We start from the raw sequence: 13202 nt of genomic DNA on the forward strand, positions 1-13202 counted from the left end.
AGCTCATGGCGGCCTTGAACTCCAGGGCTCAAGCAGTCCTCCCACCTCAGCCTCCTGAGAGGTAGGACTACAGGTGTGCACCACCACACCGGGCACCTGGCGATATAGAACAATGTCGTCACCACAAAAAATTGCCTTATGCTGCCTCTTTGGTAGTCAGCCCCCAGGCAGCCACTGATCTGTTCTCTTTCCCTGTAATTTTCTGTCCTTTTATCTTTTCCAGACTGTCCCATGGATGTTGTCAGACATGATCTGCCTCTGGAGTCTGGACTCTTTCACGTCATTGCATGTGCGATTCATTCATGTTTTGCGTGTGTCAGGAGTTTGTTCCGTATTGTTGCTGAGTATCTTTCCTTGTGTGATGTACCACAGCTCATCCACTCACCAGTTGGAGGGCATTTGTATATACAGTTTGGGGCAATTTTGAATAAAATTGCTCTAAACATTTGCCTAAAGTTGAATATAGTAGCTTTCATTTCATTTGGGTAAATAACCAGAAATGGGATTGCTGGGTCTTATGGGAAGAGCCTCTTTATAAGAAAGTGGCAACGTGATTTCCAGCATGGCAGTACCACTTCTCTCTCCTGCCAGCAACATATAGTGGTTCCCGTCGCTCTGCATCCCCCCACTGCAAGCGCCCGACATTGTCAATATTTGTTATGTAAGCAATTCTCATAGGTATATAGCAGTATTTCACTGAGGTTTCAATTTGCATTTCCTTAATGGAAAATGATGCTAATCCTCTTTCTTGTGCTTATTTTATCAGCGTTTTATCCTCTATAGTGAAGTGTTTGATTAGGTTTTTTGACATTTACTAATTTGAGTTCTTTGATTTCTTACTGCAGAGTTTTGAGACTTCTTTATATATTCTGTATATCCTTTGTCAGATATGCAGTTTGCAAAGGTAATATTTTCTCCCAGTCTGTGCTTACCTTTTTATTTAACAATATCTTTGTAATCCCAGCACTTTTGGAGGCTGAGGTGGCCGGATCACTCAGGAACTCCTGAGGTCAGGAGTTCGAGACCAGCCTCGCCAACATGGTGAAATCCTGTCTCTACTAAAAATACAAAAACTAGCTAGGTGTGGTGGTGCGTGCCTGTAGTCCCAGTTACTCGGGAGACTGAGGCAGGAGAATCACTTGAACTCGGGAGGCAGAGGTTGCAGTGAGCTGAGATCATGCCACTGCACTCCAGCCTGGGCGACGGAGCCAAACTCTGTCTTAAAAAAATAATAAAATAAAATAAAAATAAAAAAACCAATATCTTTATTCTTCTTTCACAAAATTATTTTAGCTATTCTAGTTCCTCTGTCTTTCTAGATAAATTTTAGAGCATGTTGTCTGTATGTACAAAAAAACTCTTGCTGGGATTTTGATAGGAATTGTATGAAATCTGTGAATCATTTTGGAGATAACTGGCATCTTTATAGCACTGAGTCTTTCAATCCATGAACATAGTTATGTTTCTTCCATCATTTGAATCCTCCGTGATTTCTTTCATCAGCATTTTGTAGTTTTTGGCATACGGATTATATACATGTTTTGCAAGATATATACCTAAGTATTTCATTTGTGAGATGAGCAATTGTAAATGGTATTGTTTTTTAAGTTCTGTCTTTTTATTTGTGTGTAAGATTTTTATTCTAATTTGCATTCCAAAGGAAATTACAAAATCCATTCACTTCTTTATATAAAAAAGTGACTTAACATTTTTTTTTTTTTTTTTTTTGAGATGGAGTCTCGCTCTTGTTTCCCAGGCTGGAGTGCAATGGCACGATCTCAGCTCACTGCAACCTCTGCCTCCCAGGTTCAAGCGATTCTCCTGTCTTAGCCTCCCGAGTAGCTGGGATTACAGGCGCCTGCCATCACGCCTGGCTAATTTTTGTATTTTTAGTAGAGACAGGGTTTCGCCATGTTGGCCAGGCTGGTCTCGAACTCCTGACCTCAGGTGATCCACCCGCCTTGGCCTCCCAAAGTGCTGGGATTACAGGCATGAGCCACCGCGCCCGGCCTGTTACTTAACATTTTAATGCAAATTATAAAACATGATAAAGTTGCAGGACAAACTAGGCTAGCTGCTTGGAGTAACAAGTTTTTAAGTCACCATTTTCTACTTCCATGCTAAGGATAACCTTCTAATTAGTGATCAGCTGTACTGTAATAGCAGAATAACCCTGAGACTTGAGTAAACAGAAAAGCTGAAGATCTTCTCCAGTTCCCAGCCAGGTAGTTTTCTATGCCTTCTCATAGTAGCAAACAGCAACTATGTCACCAAAAGTGAGGATCCAACAGCATAAGAATGACACAATGGACTTTGGGGACTCTGGGGAAAGGGTGGGAGGGGGTGAGGGATAAAAGACTATAAATTGGGTTGAGCATATACTGCCGGGGTGATGGGTGCACCACAATCTCACAAATCACCACTAAAGAACTTACTCATGTAAGCAGACACGACCTGTTCCTCAATAACCTATGGAAATAAAAAAAAATTAAGTGGGAGTCATAACCATTTTGCCATCCTTAATTTCTCTTACAAAATTTGTGTCTTTGCCATCCCGTTTCTGTGTGTGAACACTTTTGTCTCCATCCAGGCTAACAACAGACATACTCTACCAGTGTACAGTGTCTGTCATCAGCAGTGGTGTCTCTGTGTGAATGAATATGCTTTGAGTCCTGCTCACCACTTTGTCTCCTTCCTGACTGATAATCACTGTTGGTTTGGTCACATTTCCACCTGCCCAGTGGCAAAGCCTACACCTTTGATGACCCTTCATGTCGTCATCAGAGTTCTGACTGTCCCTCAGCTTCCAGGTAGCACAAAAAGCCCCCACCATCCTTCCCTCTCCCTGTTTAGCTCCAAAACAGATCAAAGAGACCGGAGCAAGACTCTTGGATCTTACTGCCACTGAAATTCTGGAGACACCTTTGCCTAAATTTTGATTTCTAATTGTTCATTACTGATCTGTAGAAATGTGATTGATTTTTGTATATTGACCTTTTTTCTTGGGGGGGAAACATTCTGTTTTTTACCGTTAAGAATGATGTTAACTATAGATTTTGTGTAGATGCTCTTTAATAATGTGGGGAAGTTCCCTTTCATTCCCAGTTATTTTTAATGAATGGATGTTGAATTTTGTCAAATGCTTTTTCTGCATCAATTGATATGATTATGTGCTTTTTTCTTTTTTAGACTATTAATGTGGTGGATTATGTTGTTTTATTTTTAAATATTGAATCAGCCTCATGTTCCTGGAAAACCCCTCTTGGTGTGGTGTATTATTCTTTTTATTCATCAAAGGATTCAATTTGCTAATATTTTGTTGAGAAATTTCACACCTGTGTTCATGAAGAATATTGGTTGGGACTATTTAGGTTATCTTTTTCACCTGGGATGAATTTGGGTAGTCTGTAATTTTTCAGGAATTGGTCCATTTTATAGAAGTTGTTGAATTTGTGTGTGAAGACTTGTTCATAATATCCCCTTTTTATCCTTTTAATGTCTGGAAAGTTAGTACTTATTTCCCTTGTTTCCTTCCTGATGTTGGTAGCTTATGTCTTTTCTCTCTTTTTTTTTCAATTTTTTCAATTTATTTTTTTTTGAGCTGGGGTCTTGCCCTGCTGCCCAGGCTGAAGTGCAGTGGTATGACCATGGCTCACTGCAGCGTCAATCTCCCAGGCTCAAGTGCTCCTCCCACCTTAGCCTCCCAAGCAGCTGGGACTACAGGTGCACACAACCATGCCTGGGCAATTTTTTTGTAGAGACAGGGTCTTGCTATGTTGCCCAGGCTGGTCTCGAACTCCTGGGCTCAATCAATCCACCTGCCTCAGCCTCTGGTGCTGGGATTACAGGCGTGAACCACTGCACTCAGTCCATCCAGTGAATTTTTAATTTTAGGTATTGTTTTGTTCAAGCTTAGAAGTTCCATTTTGTTCTTTTATTATAGTTTTTAATTTTTCTATTAAGATTCTCATCTATTATGCTTTCTTTTCTTTATTTCTTTCAAAGTGTTGATAATAGTTGTTTTAAAGTTCTTTTCTAATAATTCTAACAAAAGTCTAATAATTCTGCTTATCCTTCATCTCTTTATTATGGTCACATTTTCTTGCTTCTTCTCATGTCTTTTTATTTTTTATTGTATGTTGGACATTGTGAAAGGGATAGTGTAGGCAATGGATTATATTGTTTTAATATAAATGCTAACAAATTTTGGTTTGGCATGTAGTTAAATTATTGGCCAACTCATGTGATCTTCACAGACTTTATTTTAGGCTTTGTCAGAGTAGGTTTGTTTTGACTTTGTCATTGGGTCTAGAGCATGCGCTTACTCAAGGATGTGGTTCACAGTCCTAAAGCATAGCTTTTCTGGGGTTTCAGCCAACACCTGAGATGCTTAGGGAGGTATCTCCACTCTGGCTGAGCCAGTACTCCAGTTTTCCCATCACTGCATGAATTCTCACATGTCCTTTCAAGTACCTTTTCCTGTGCTTATTGGCCAGTTGTATATCTTTTTTTGTGACACGTCCTTGTCTTTTGCCTGTTTACAAAATCGAGTTATTAGTCTTATGCTGATTTGTAGAAGTTAATTATGTATTCTGGAAATGAGTCCTTTGTCAGATACATATACTGGAGATATGTTTTTCCAGCCTGTGACTTGAGTTTCTTAATGACTTTATTATAAGGTTTGTGGCTATGCTTATATTTGTCATTGATTTTTTTTTCTTTTTTTTTGAGACGAAGTTTTGCTCTGTCAACAGGCTGGAGTGCAGTGGTGTGATCTCTGCTCACTGCAATCTCCAACCTCCTGGGCTCAAGCGATTCTCATGCCCCAGCCTCCTGAGTAGCTAGGATTACAGGTGTGCACCACCACACCTGGCTAACTTTTTTTTTTTTGTATTTTTAGTAGAGACAGGGTTTCGCCATGTTGGCCAGGCTGGTCTTGAACTCCTGACCTCAAGTGATCCACCTGCCTCGGCCTCCCAAAGTGCTGGGATTATAGGCGTGAGCCACTGCACCCAGCCTGTCATTGATTTCTACTCTTGTTTTTATTATGTTCTTTCTTCTATTTACTTTGAATTTAATTTGCTCTGCATTTTTTAGATTCTGACTCTTAGATCTAGAAGCTTATGTCATTGCTTTTACACCTATCTTCTTTTCTAATAAAGGAATTGAAAGCAATAAATTTCCCTGTCAGCCCAGCTTTACCTGCATCCAGCAAATTTTGATATGCTCTGTTTTTTTAATCATTCAATTCAAAATATCTCAAAATGTGATCACCTTGCAGTTTATTCTCTGACCTATGAGCTAATTAGAAATGTATTGTTTATTTCCAAATACTTGAGATTTTCTAAATATCTTGTCCTGAATTTTAACTTAGTACCATTGTGGTAAGAGTCTGTGTTCCAGCATCTGATATATATTGGTAACCTCAGGATATGCTCTTGAAAAGAATGTGTATCTACAATTATACAGTGTTCTATAAATATTAATTAGGTCAAATTGGTTGATGGTGTTTTTCAAACCTTTTATTTCGTCACTTGTCATACCATTTACTGGAAAGGGGTGCTAAAATCTTCCAATTATGATTGTGACTTTTTTGTTTCTCTCTTTAGTTCTGAATTTTTTGTTTTAGGTATTTTAAAGCTCTGTTACTAGGTGATGTCTGTTTTAGATTATTCTGCCTTCTTGATGAATTAATCCTTGTATCATTATAAAACATCCAGCTTTCTTAATGTTTTTCCATTCTTTTATTTTAAATCTTTTTTTTTTTTTTTTGAGATGGAGTCTCACTCTGTCACCCAGGCTGGAGTGTAATGGCGCGATCTTGGCTCACTGCAACCTTCGCCTCCTGGATTGAAGCGATTCTCCTGCCTCAGCCTCCTGAGTAGCTGGGATTACAGGTGCCCGCCACTGCACCCGGCTCATTTTTGTATTTTTAGTAGAGATGGGGTTTCACCATGTTGGCCAGGCTGGTCTTGAGCGCCTGACCTCAGGTGATCCACCCACCTCAGCCTCCCAAAGTGTTGGGGTTACAGGAGTGAGCCACAGCACCCAGCCTTAATATATCTTTGTATTAGGAGTATCCCTCTTGTAAACAGGATATAATTGGATCTTGCTTTTCCAGTCTGAAAAGTCTGCCTCTTAATCAAAGGATTCTTACCATCCATCCATCCATCCATCCATCCACGCTGCTGTGTGTACATCTGCTCCACGGCACAGTTCTCCCCAGTGTGCAGCCTCCATATTTTGCCTACCCATCCTGCCTGCCATAAACCCCTGAGTTGCCTCCAACTCTCCTGCCAAAAATGCTGTTGCTGTGAGCATCCTTGTGCAGGCCCCTGGGCAGGGGAAGAGTCTATGTGGGATGCTTGCCTGGCGTGGGATGCTGGTTTACAGGGTTTGCCTATACTTAATATGACTAAGGATTCGAGATACTACAGTATGTCTATATGGTGATGGGAATGATCCAGAAGAGGGGAAAAGGTGATGAGGAAAGAGTGGGAGACTTGGCTGGCACCGCTTGCCTGAGTAGGTGAGAGGGATCGGGACCCACTGCACAAGTGGCAGGTTTGCCTTTGCTGGGAGCAGGCACAGTTCAGCCATGGAGCAGGCAGGCGTGCAGACGTCTGGGCCAGGTGCAGGCAGGTGGGTAGGTGTGGGGTGAGGGCTTGGGGAAGTTTTCCTCCATGGCTTGTGTCTTCTCAGTGAAGTGGGAAGCAACCTGAGGGTAAGGATGGGAGAGGAGATACTGGAAACTTAAGGGGAAGGATGGTATGAAATAGTTATCTTGGAGATGGGGAGCATGTGTGGACCAAAGAAACAGCCCAATTGCTGAGCAGCTTTCAGGGTGCTCTTGTGGTTAGTGTGAGTGGGCAGTGCAGGCTGTCTTTCCCACCACGCTCTCGGGAGAGGCCTGGGTATGGAGCAAGCTCAGCACAGGACCAGTGCCCAGCACCATGCCAGGCACCACGGGCACAGGATGAGCTGTGCAGGACAGCTGCCCCTGAAGAGCTCACTGTGCAGTGGGAGAGGCAGCAGCCAGCACCAGAGTACCAGCCATGAGGGTGATTATGGATCACCACCATTCTGTGTGGCCCAGGGGAGACAGGGCGACGGTGCAGCGGGGCCCATGAGTCCTGGGTCTGTGGGAAGGTGGCGCTCTGTAATTATGCGAGGATGCTGCTCAGCAAGGTGTGGGCACTCAGTGCTGTTTCAGCCCTAGCTTTATTTTGCATTGTAAAAGTGATGCATGTCACACCAAAAGAAATTAGGAAAATGTTTTTTAAAATCATAAATAAAAAAGTAAAAATCACCTGAAATTGCACCTCCCCCTCAAATGTAGCCATGGTTAGTTAACAAGTTTGTGGTTTTTTTTTTTTTTTTTTTTTTTTTTGAGATGCAGTCTTGCTCTGTCACCCAGGCTGGAGTTCAGTGGCGCGATCGCGGCTCACTGCAAGCTCCGCCTCCCCGGTTCACACCATTCTCCTGCCTCAGCCTCCCGAGTAGCTGGGACTACAGGCGCCCGCCACCATGCCTGGCTAATTTTTTGTATTTTTATTAGAGACGGGGTTTCACCGTGTTAGCCAGGATGGTCTCGATCTCCTGACCTCGTGATCTGCCTCAGCCTCCCAAAGTGCTGGGATTACAGGTGTGAGTCACCGCACCCTGCCAAGTTTGTGTATTGTTTTTAAAGGACAGGTCTGATCCCTGCCCCCACAGCCCTGGAGGTTTAGCCTCCTAACCAGATGTGAATAACACCCCTCTGCCAACTGTAGCTGAACAGCATCGCCTTAGGCCTTGAGGGCCAAGGGAGGCACCCTCTCCATTCCTGGGGAAAGTCAGGGAGGGCCACATGGAGGAAGTGGTCTAGGAATTGGATACTGAAGTTCAAGTGTCCCTCATGCCTGTCTTGCTGTCTTTCCCCCTCCTATATCCCCTTGTTCAGTGCCTCTTTAGGACAAGAGCAGCTCCCACCTTGTCCCACTGTGCGGCTGACAGGGGGGCACACTGCAGGGGCTGCGATGGGGAGGCCCGCCCTGTGGGGGGCAGGAAAGCAGAGGCACAGCTCTTGTGTGGGCCACTCAGTCACACCCCCTCTGTGCAGTGCACAGCCTGTGTGGCTGTCCATGGTAGTCATGCAAAGAGAGTTCCTCCACCTGCTATTTTGGCCCATGCCCTGGCCACACTGGAGCAAGATGGAGGAGCAGGGCTACAGGCCTTACACTCTCTGGTCTGTGTCCCACTCCAGATAGCAGCGACAGTGAGCTGGAGCTGTCCACGGTGCGCCACCAGCCAGAGGGGCTGGACCAGCTGCAGGCCCAGACCAAGTTCACCAAGAAGGAGCTGCAGTCTCTCTACAGGGGCTTTAAGAATGTGAGTGTTCCCCATTCCCCCGGGAGAGGCCTTGGAGACCCTGGCTCAGGGAGACCTGGAAACTTCTCCATGCCACAGTAAATATCCCAGGGGCCTTTAAGGGGCTTATGTGTTGTGGGAAAGCTGTGTGGCGGGGGCAGGCTCCGGAATGGGCATCGCTGAGGCCGCCATGCTCCTCCCTCCGTGTCTTTGCTGCTGGTACAGAGGAGGAGGGTATGGGGGAGCAGTCACCCCCTTCCTATTCACCCCTCCTCCCTCTCACCCCACCTCTACCCAGGCTTTCCACAACCCAGGCCAGGGGGCCCCAGCAGTGCCACAGGCAGCAGGCAGCCCCCAAGGGGGTGGAGAGAGGCCAGCCAGGCACCATGCAGAGTCGGGCTTGGAGCTGGGGGTGGCCGAGGGCTGAGGGGGTGCCTTCCTGCTGCAGGAGTGTCCCACGGGCCTGGTGGACGAAGACACCTTCAAACTCATTTACGCGCAGTTCTTCCCTCAGGGAGGTGAGTCTGAGGCAGGGCAGCCCTGCTGTGTCCCAGTGTGGAGGGAGGGGACCCTCCTGCTGCCCCTTGCATCCTGGAGGCTTGGTGCTGCCCCTGTCCCGTGGGAAACAGGGACTCCAAGCCAGGACGCAGTTAGCACCCTCAGCTGGGGTTGCCTGGGGTGGGAGATGAGCCGCCAGGCAGCCCCGACACACCCCAGCCTCTTCCTTGCCCTCCCCAGATGCCACCACCTATGCACACTTCCTCTTCAACGCCTTTGATGCGGACGGGAACGGGGCCATCCACTTTGAGGTAGGTCCTCGCGGATTCCTCCCACGTGTCCTGCCCCTGTGGTTGCAGGAGTGAATCCTTACCCTGGCGTCACTGTCAGGGCTGTCGAGAGAGCCATGGTCCTGGGTGGGAAGGATCTTGTGAGTCACCCTGGGAATGAGTGGATGTGGCTGGCCCTGGGCCAGTGAGCTCTGGGGTGTTTGACTTTGCTGGGCCGGCACCACGTTCTCAGCCTTTTCTTCCATTTGAGAGTTTGCATCCAGCTCTGCCTGGTCAAGGGAGCCCCCGAGACACACACGGGTGGTAGTGACCCAGCGGGAATTTGCATTTTCAAAGGGATCAGGGCTTAACTCAGAGGCCTGGTTTGCTGACGGTGGGATGTGAGACCTCCATTTTCAGAATTTACTCCTTGTTACCCAGAAAATAGGCCAAAAATATCTAGAAAACATCCCAGCCGGAGCAGCCTCCAGGGCTCATCCCAGCTGGGCACTGAGAGCAAAGCCTGGTGTTACCCACTGGCGGAAGGAGAAGCCTGTCCCCCACCCAGACAGCTTCCCTGTGGGGTCCTGGCCTGGGCTCCTCCCCAGCCCCGCCACACAGGATCATTGGAGAGAGGCCCCATCTGCGGAGCCCAAGCCTCTAAAAATAGCTGCAGGCGAAAAGCTGAAACCGCTTTGGGGAGGAAAACCTTTCTGAGAGCCGGCTTGATCGATACCCCGACAGCTTGGCTTCCACTGGGCTAAGGGCAGCTAACAGGAAAGCACAGAGAAGCACATGGGGCCAGAAGGCCCCGGCCACACGGGGTAATAATAACTTGTCGATAAGCTGCGCGGGTTATTTTTATGCCGCAAGCCCGCCAGGCACACTGACGCTCCCCGCCTGCCCTGTGACCACAGGACCCCTCGACTCTGAGCCACACTCTGAGGGCTCTGCACATAGAAGCAGACCGTGTTTTCAAATCTTGTTTTCAGATTTGAAATACCAACCCCACAGCACACAGAAAACACCCGGTTAGCATGGAGGAGCCTCAGGGAGGACTCAAGGTCCTTTCCCTGCCCCTCTCTCCTGGGGTGCCCTTTAAGAGGCACCTGACACTTCAGGCAGTAAAGCATCTTTAGGAAACGGTGTAAGGGAGCAGGCGGGGTGCGAGTGGTTTTTCTTGTTCAGGAATGAGATGACTGAGAGGCTCGGCAGAGCCCCTGCTCATGGCAGTGCTCAGGAAGGTCACAGTCGCCCCTCACCTCCTGTGGCCATCACCCTCGCTGTCCTGAGGGACAGCCTTGTGGCCCTTTAAGGAAGCAGGTGGCAGCCCTCTGGGCTGGGTCTGTCAGTGGCTGTGCTGTGGCCCCTCTGCTGGGCACCTTCTCAGAAGATCACTCATCCCTGGCATCTTCCTGGGCCTTCTGCAGCTTCTCTGCACGTGAAACGAAGTCCTCTGGCTTCACGCAGGTACATTTACCTTGAGGAACTTCTCGATTTCAAAGTGTTCTGCTCTGGGAAGGAGGAGGGCACAAGCCCCCATGGCCCCATCCTGGGAGCCCCACAGACTGGGATCCCAGTGGTCACAAAGGATCCTGCCAGGGACGGAGGCACCAAATCTAGTCTGGAGAACACCGGGCCATCCTCACTGCCAGCCCTCAGAGCCTCCTACGTGCGTCTGTAATGCAAGGCAACCCTGCATGACACTGTCTGCAATGATTCTGTCCCTTTCTGTATATTCTTAGAGACAAGATGCATATTAGTTACAGTTTACTGATATGGTAAAAGGTAATACCCTCCCTCCGCTCACCAAAAAGAATAACCAAAAAGACCAAATCGGAAAACACACAGACCTCAACAGAGCCAAGCGGGCGATGCCATCCCCACACCCCACCTTGGAGTGGCTCCTGCTCCCATCCCCACGGACCTTCTGGGATTTGCCAGCAGCAGGGAGCCCCAGGTGAGCAGCGCCACACACAGATTTGCTGAACGCTCTGGCCACCAGGGCCTTTCTCGTGCAACTCATCTGGCTTGCCAGGACGTGCAGAGCTTCCAAAACGATTCCGTAGACTGTTGGGGCCTCTTCAGTGCCCAGGATCAAGTCAGGCCCAGTTTGGAAGTGGCAGCCAGGCAGGCATCTGGAGGTGCGGCCGCTTCTCTGTTACCTCCCCCGACAGTAAACTGCTCCATGTGCCAGTGGCCAAGCGGCATCCAGGGCCGTGTGAGGGCAGCCTGCAAGCCCAGCAACCACATGCGACTCCCACCCCCTCGCTGAGCACCTGCTCCGGGCTCTGCCGGGAGACCCTCCTGTGCACTCTTGTGCACCTTCACCTGGAAGTATGCTGTGTCACTGGAGCCCTCACCCTGCCTAGCCCCTGCCATGGGGACAGCCGTAGAACAGAGGCTGTGGATGTGACAGGGTTCCTACACTTTGGCATTCAGAGCATGGAGTTACAACTTGCCATGGTTGCACTGTGTATGGCCAAGGAATTTAGAACCAGCGTGCACTCAGACATGGGCTGGCTGGACTTGGGGTCATCTGTGTATTACCTTTATGAATGGAGACTAGCCAGTGGCCTAACAGGACATTCCCACCATCTCCTAGTACTGTCACTACTGTAGCCAACACACAGAGAGAGGCTAAGGGATACTGCATAGGGACATTCCTCAGCTGCTAGCAGCAGGCTCTGTGGCTGAACATGAGGGCTTCTCCGCAGCAGACAGACAGACCACCTGAGGGGCCCATGTCAGCTGAAGATAAGGTGGAGGACAGCGGTGCCTGCCCAGGGTCCCCAGGAGAACGGTGTGCTCCACGCCTTTGCTACCCACTAGGAAGGCCTGTCTGACCCAGGGCTTCAGGGATAACTTAGAATCTTCACTACTGTGTAAACCATGCCCAAGCTTCAGTGATTATTATTCCCTAAACTTGGGCATAGTAGAAATATAACAATGTTTCTCCTTGTTTTTTAATTTTTATTTTTTTTGTTTTATTTTTAGACAGGCTGGAGTGCAGTGGCACCACCATAGCTCATTGCAGCCTCGACCTCCTGGCCTCAAGTGATCCTCCTACCCCAGCCTCCCGAGTACCTGGGACTGCGGGTGCATGCCACCATGCCCAGCTAATTTTTTTATTTTAATTGTTGTAGATGCAAGGTCTCACTATGTTGTCCAGGCTAGTCTTGAAATCCTGGCCTCAAGCAATTCTCCTGTCTCAGCCTCCCAAAGTGCTGGAATTGCAGGTGTGAGCCACCACACCTGGGTGTTGCTTCTTTAAAATATTTTCATTGGCCGGGCTCGGTGGCTCACGCCTGCAATCCCAGCACTTTGAGAGGCCAAGGCGGTCAGATCACCTGAGGTCAGGAGTTTGAGACAAGCCTGGCCAACATAGCGAAACCCCGTCTCTACTAAAAATACAAAAAAAAAAAAAAAATTAGCTGGGCATGGTGGCGGGTGCCTATAATTCCAGCTGCTTGGGAGGCTGAGGCAAGTGAATCACTTTGAGCCCAGGAGTCAGAGGTTGCAGTGAGCTGAGATTGCACCACTGTACTCCATCCAGCCTGGGTGACAGAGTGAGACTCAATCTCAAAAACAAAAACAAAATATATATATATATACACACACACACACACATATATATATATACACACACACACACATATATACACACATATTTATATACACATATATATACACATATATACACACACACACATATATATACACACACACACATATATATATATATATTCATTGTCTTCAGTTATACACACACATGACTGGAGTCCAACACATTCGCAGGGTGCACGTTGGAAAACCAGCAGGTGACCACCACCTTGTCTGCTGTAGCCAGTCACCTGTGCTTGTTTCCATGTCCCCCAGAAGCTTGCTTCCACTTTTCCACCCCCTGCCACAAGTGAGAATTTGGGACTCCCTCAGACATACAACGTTCCCGTCCCCCCAGCCCCCCACCCATCCCCCAGGAGGCTGAGGTGGGAGGATCGCTTGAGCCCAGGAGTTCAGCTTTCCAACAGACTCTAGGCTTCAGGTTGGATAAGGCCTTGGTTTACTCTGATTTGTGAACTGGAC

General features: G+C 47.8%; 1 protein-coding gene and 1 pseudogene across 2 annotated transcripts in view, besides 2 other annotated features; one reads left to right on the plus strand and one right to left on the minus strand.

The window, feature by feature from the left end:
* The window catches only part of KCNIP3 (potassium voltage-gated channel interacting protein 3), an 88731-nt gene that overhangs the window by 68704 nt on the left and 6825 nt on the right, over positions 1 to 13202 (plus strand). For both annotated transcript variants that reach the window (NM_013434.5, NM_001034914.2), the window contains 3 exons: positions 8246 to 8370; positions 8798 to 8867; positions 9088 to 9158. In NM_013434.5, the coding sequence (NP_038462.1) occupies positions 8246 to 8370; positions 8798 to 8867; positions 9088 to 9158 (266 nt within the window). The remainder of the gene's footprint in view (positions 1 to 8245; positions 8371 to 8797; positions 8868 to 9087; positions 9159 to 13202) is intronic.
* On the minus strand, positions 2485 to 2926 carry FABP7P2 (fatty acid binding protein 7 pseudogene 2; annotated as a pseudogene).
* Positions 8346 to 8925: an enhancer, noted in NCBI's record as "H3K4me1 hESC enhancer chr2:96040144-96040723 (GRCh37/hg19 assembly coordinates)". NCBI's record gives its function as "activates a minimal SCP1, AML or CMV promoter by ChIP-STARR-seq in naive H9 embryonic stem cells {active_cell/tissue: H9 hESC(naive)}" and the evidence as "EXISTENCE:reporter gene assay evidence [ECO:0000049][PMID:30033119]".
* Positions 9507 to 10085: an enhancer, noted in NCBI's record as "H3K4me1 hESC enhancer chr2:96041305-96041883 (GRCh37/hg19 assembly coordinates)". NCBI's record gives its function as "activates a minimal SCP1, AML or CMV promoter by ChIP-STARR-seq in primed H9 embryonic stem cells {active_cell/tissue: H9 hESC(primed)}" and the evidence as "EXISTENCE:reporter gene assay evidence [ECO:0000049][PMID:30033119]".

Source organism: Homo sapiens, chromosome 2, assembly GCF_000001405.40.
Source record: "Homo sapiens chromosome 2, GRCh38.p14 Primary Assembly".
In the NCBI taxonomy this organism is placed as follows: domain Eukaryota; kingdom Metazoa; phylum Chordata; class Mammalia; order Primates; family Hominidae; genus Homo; species Homo sapiens.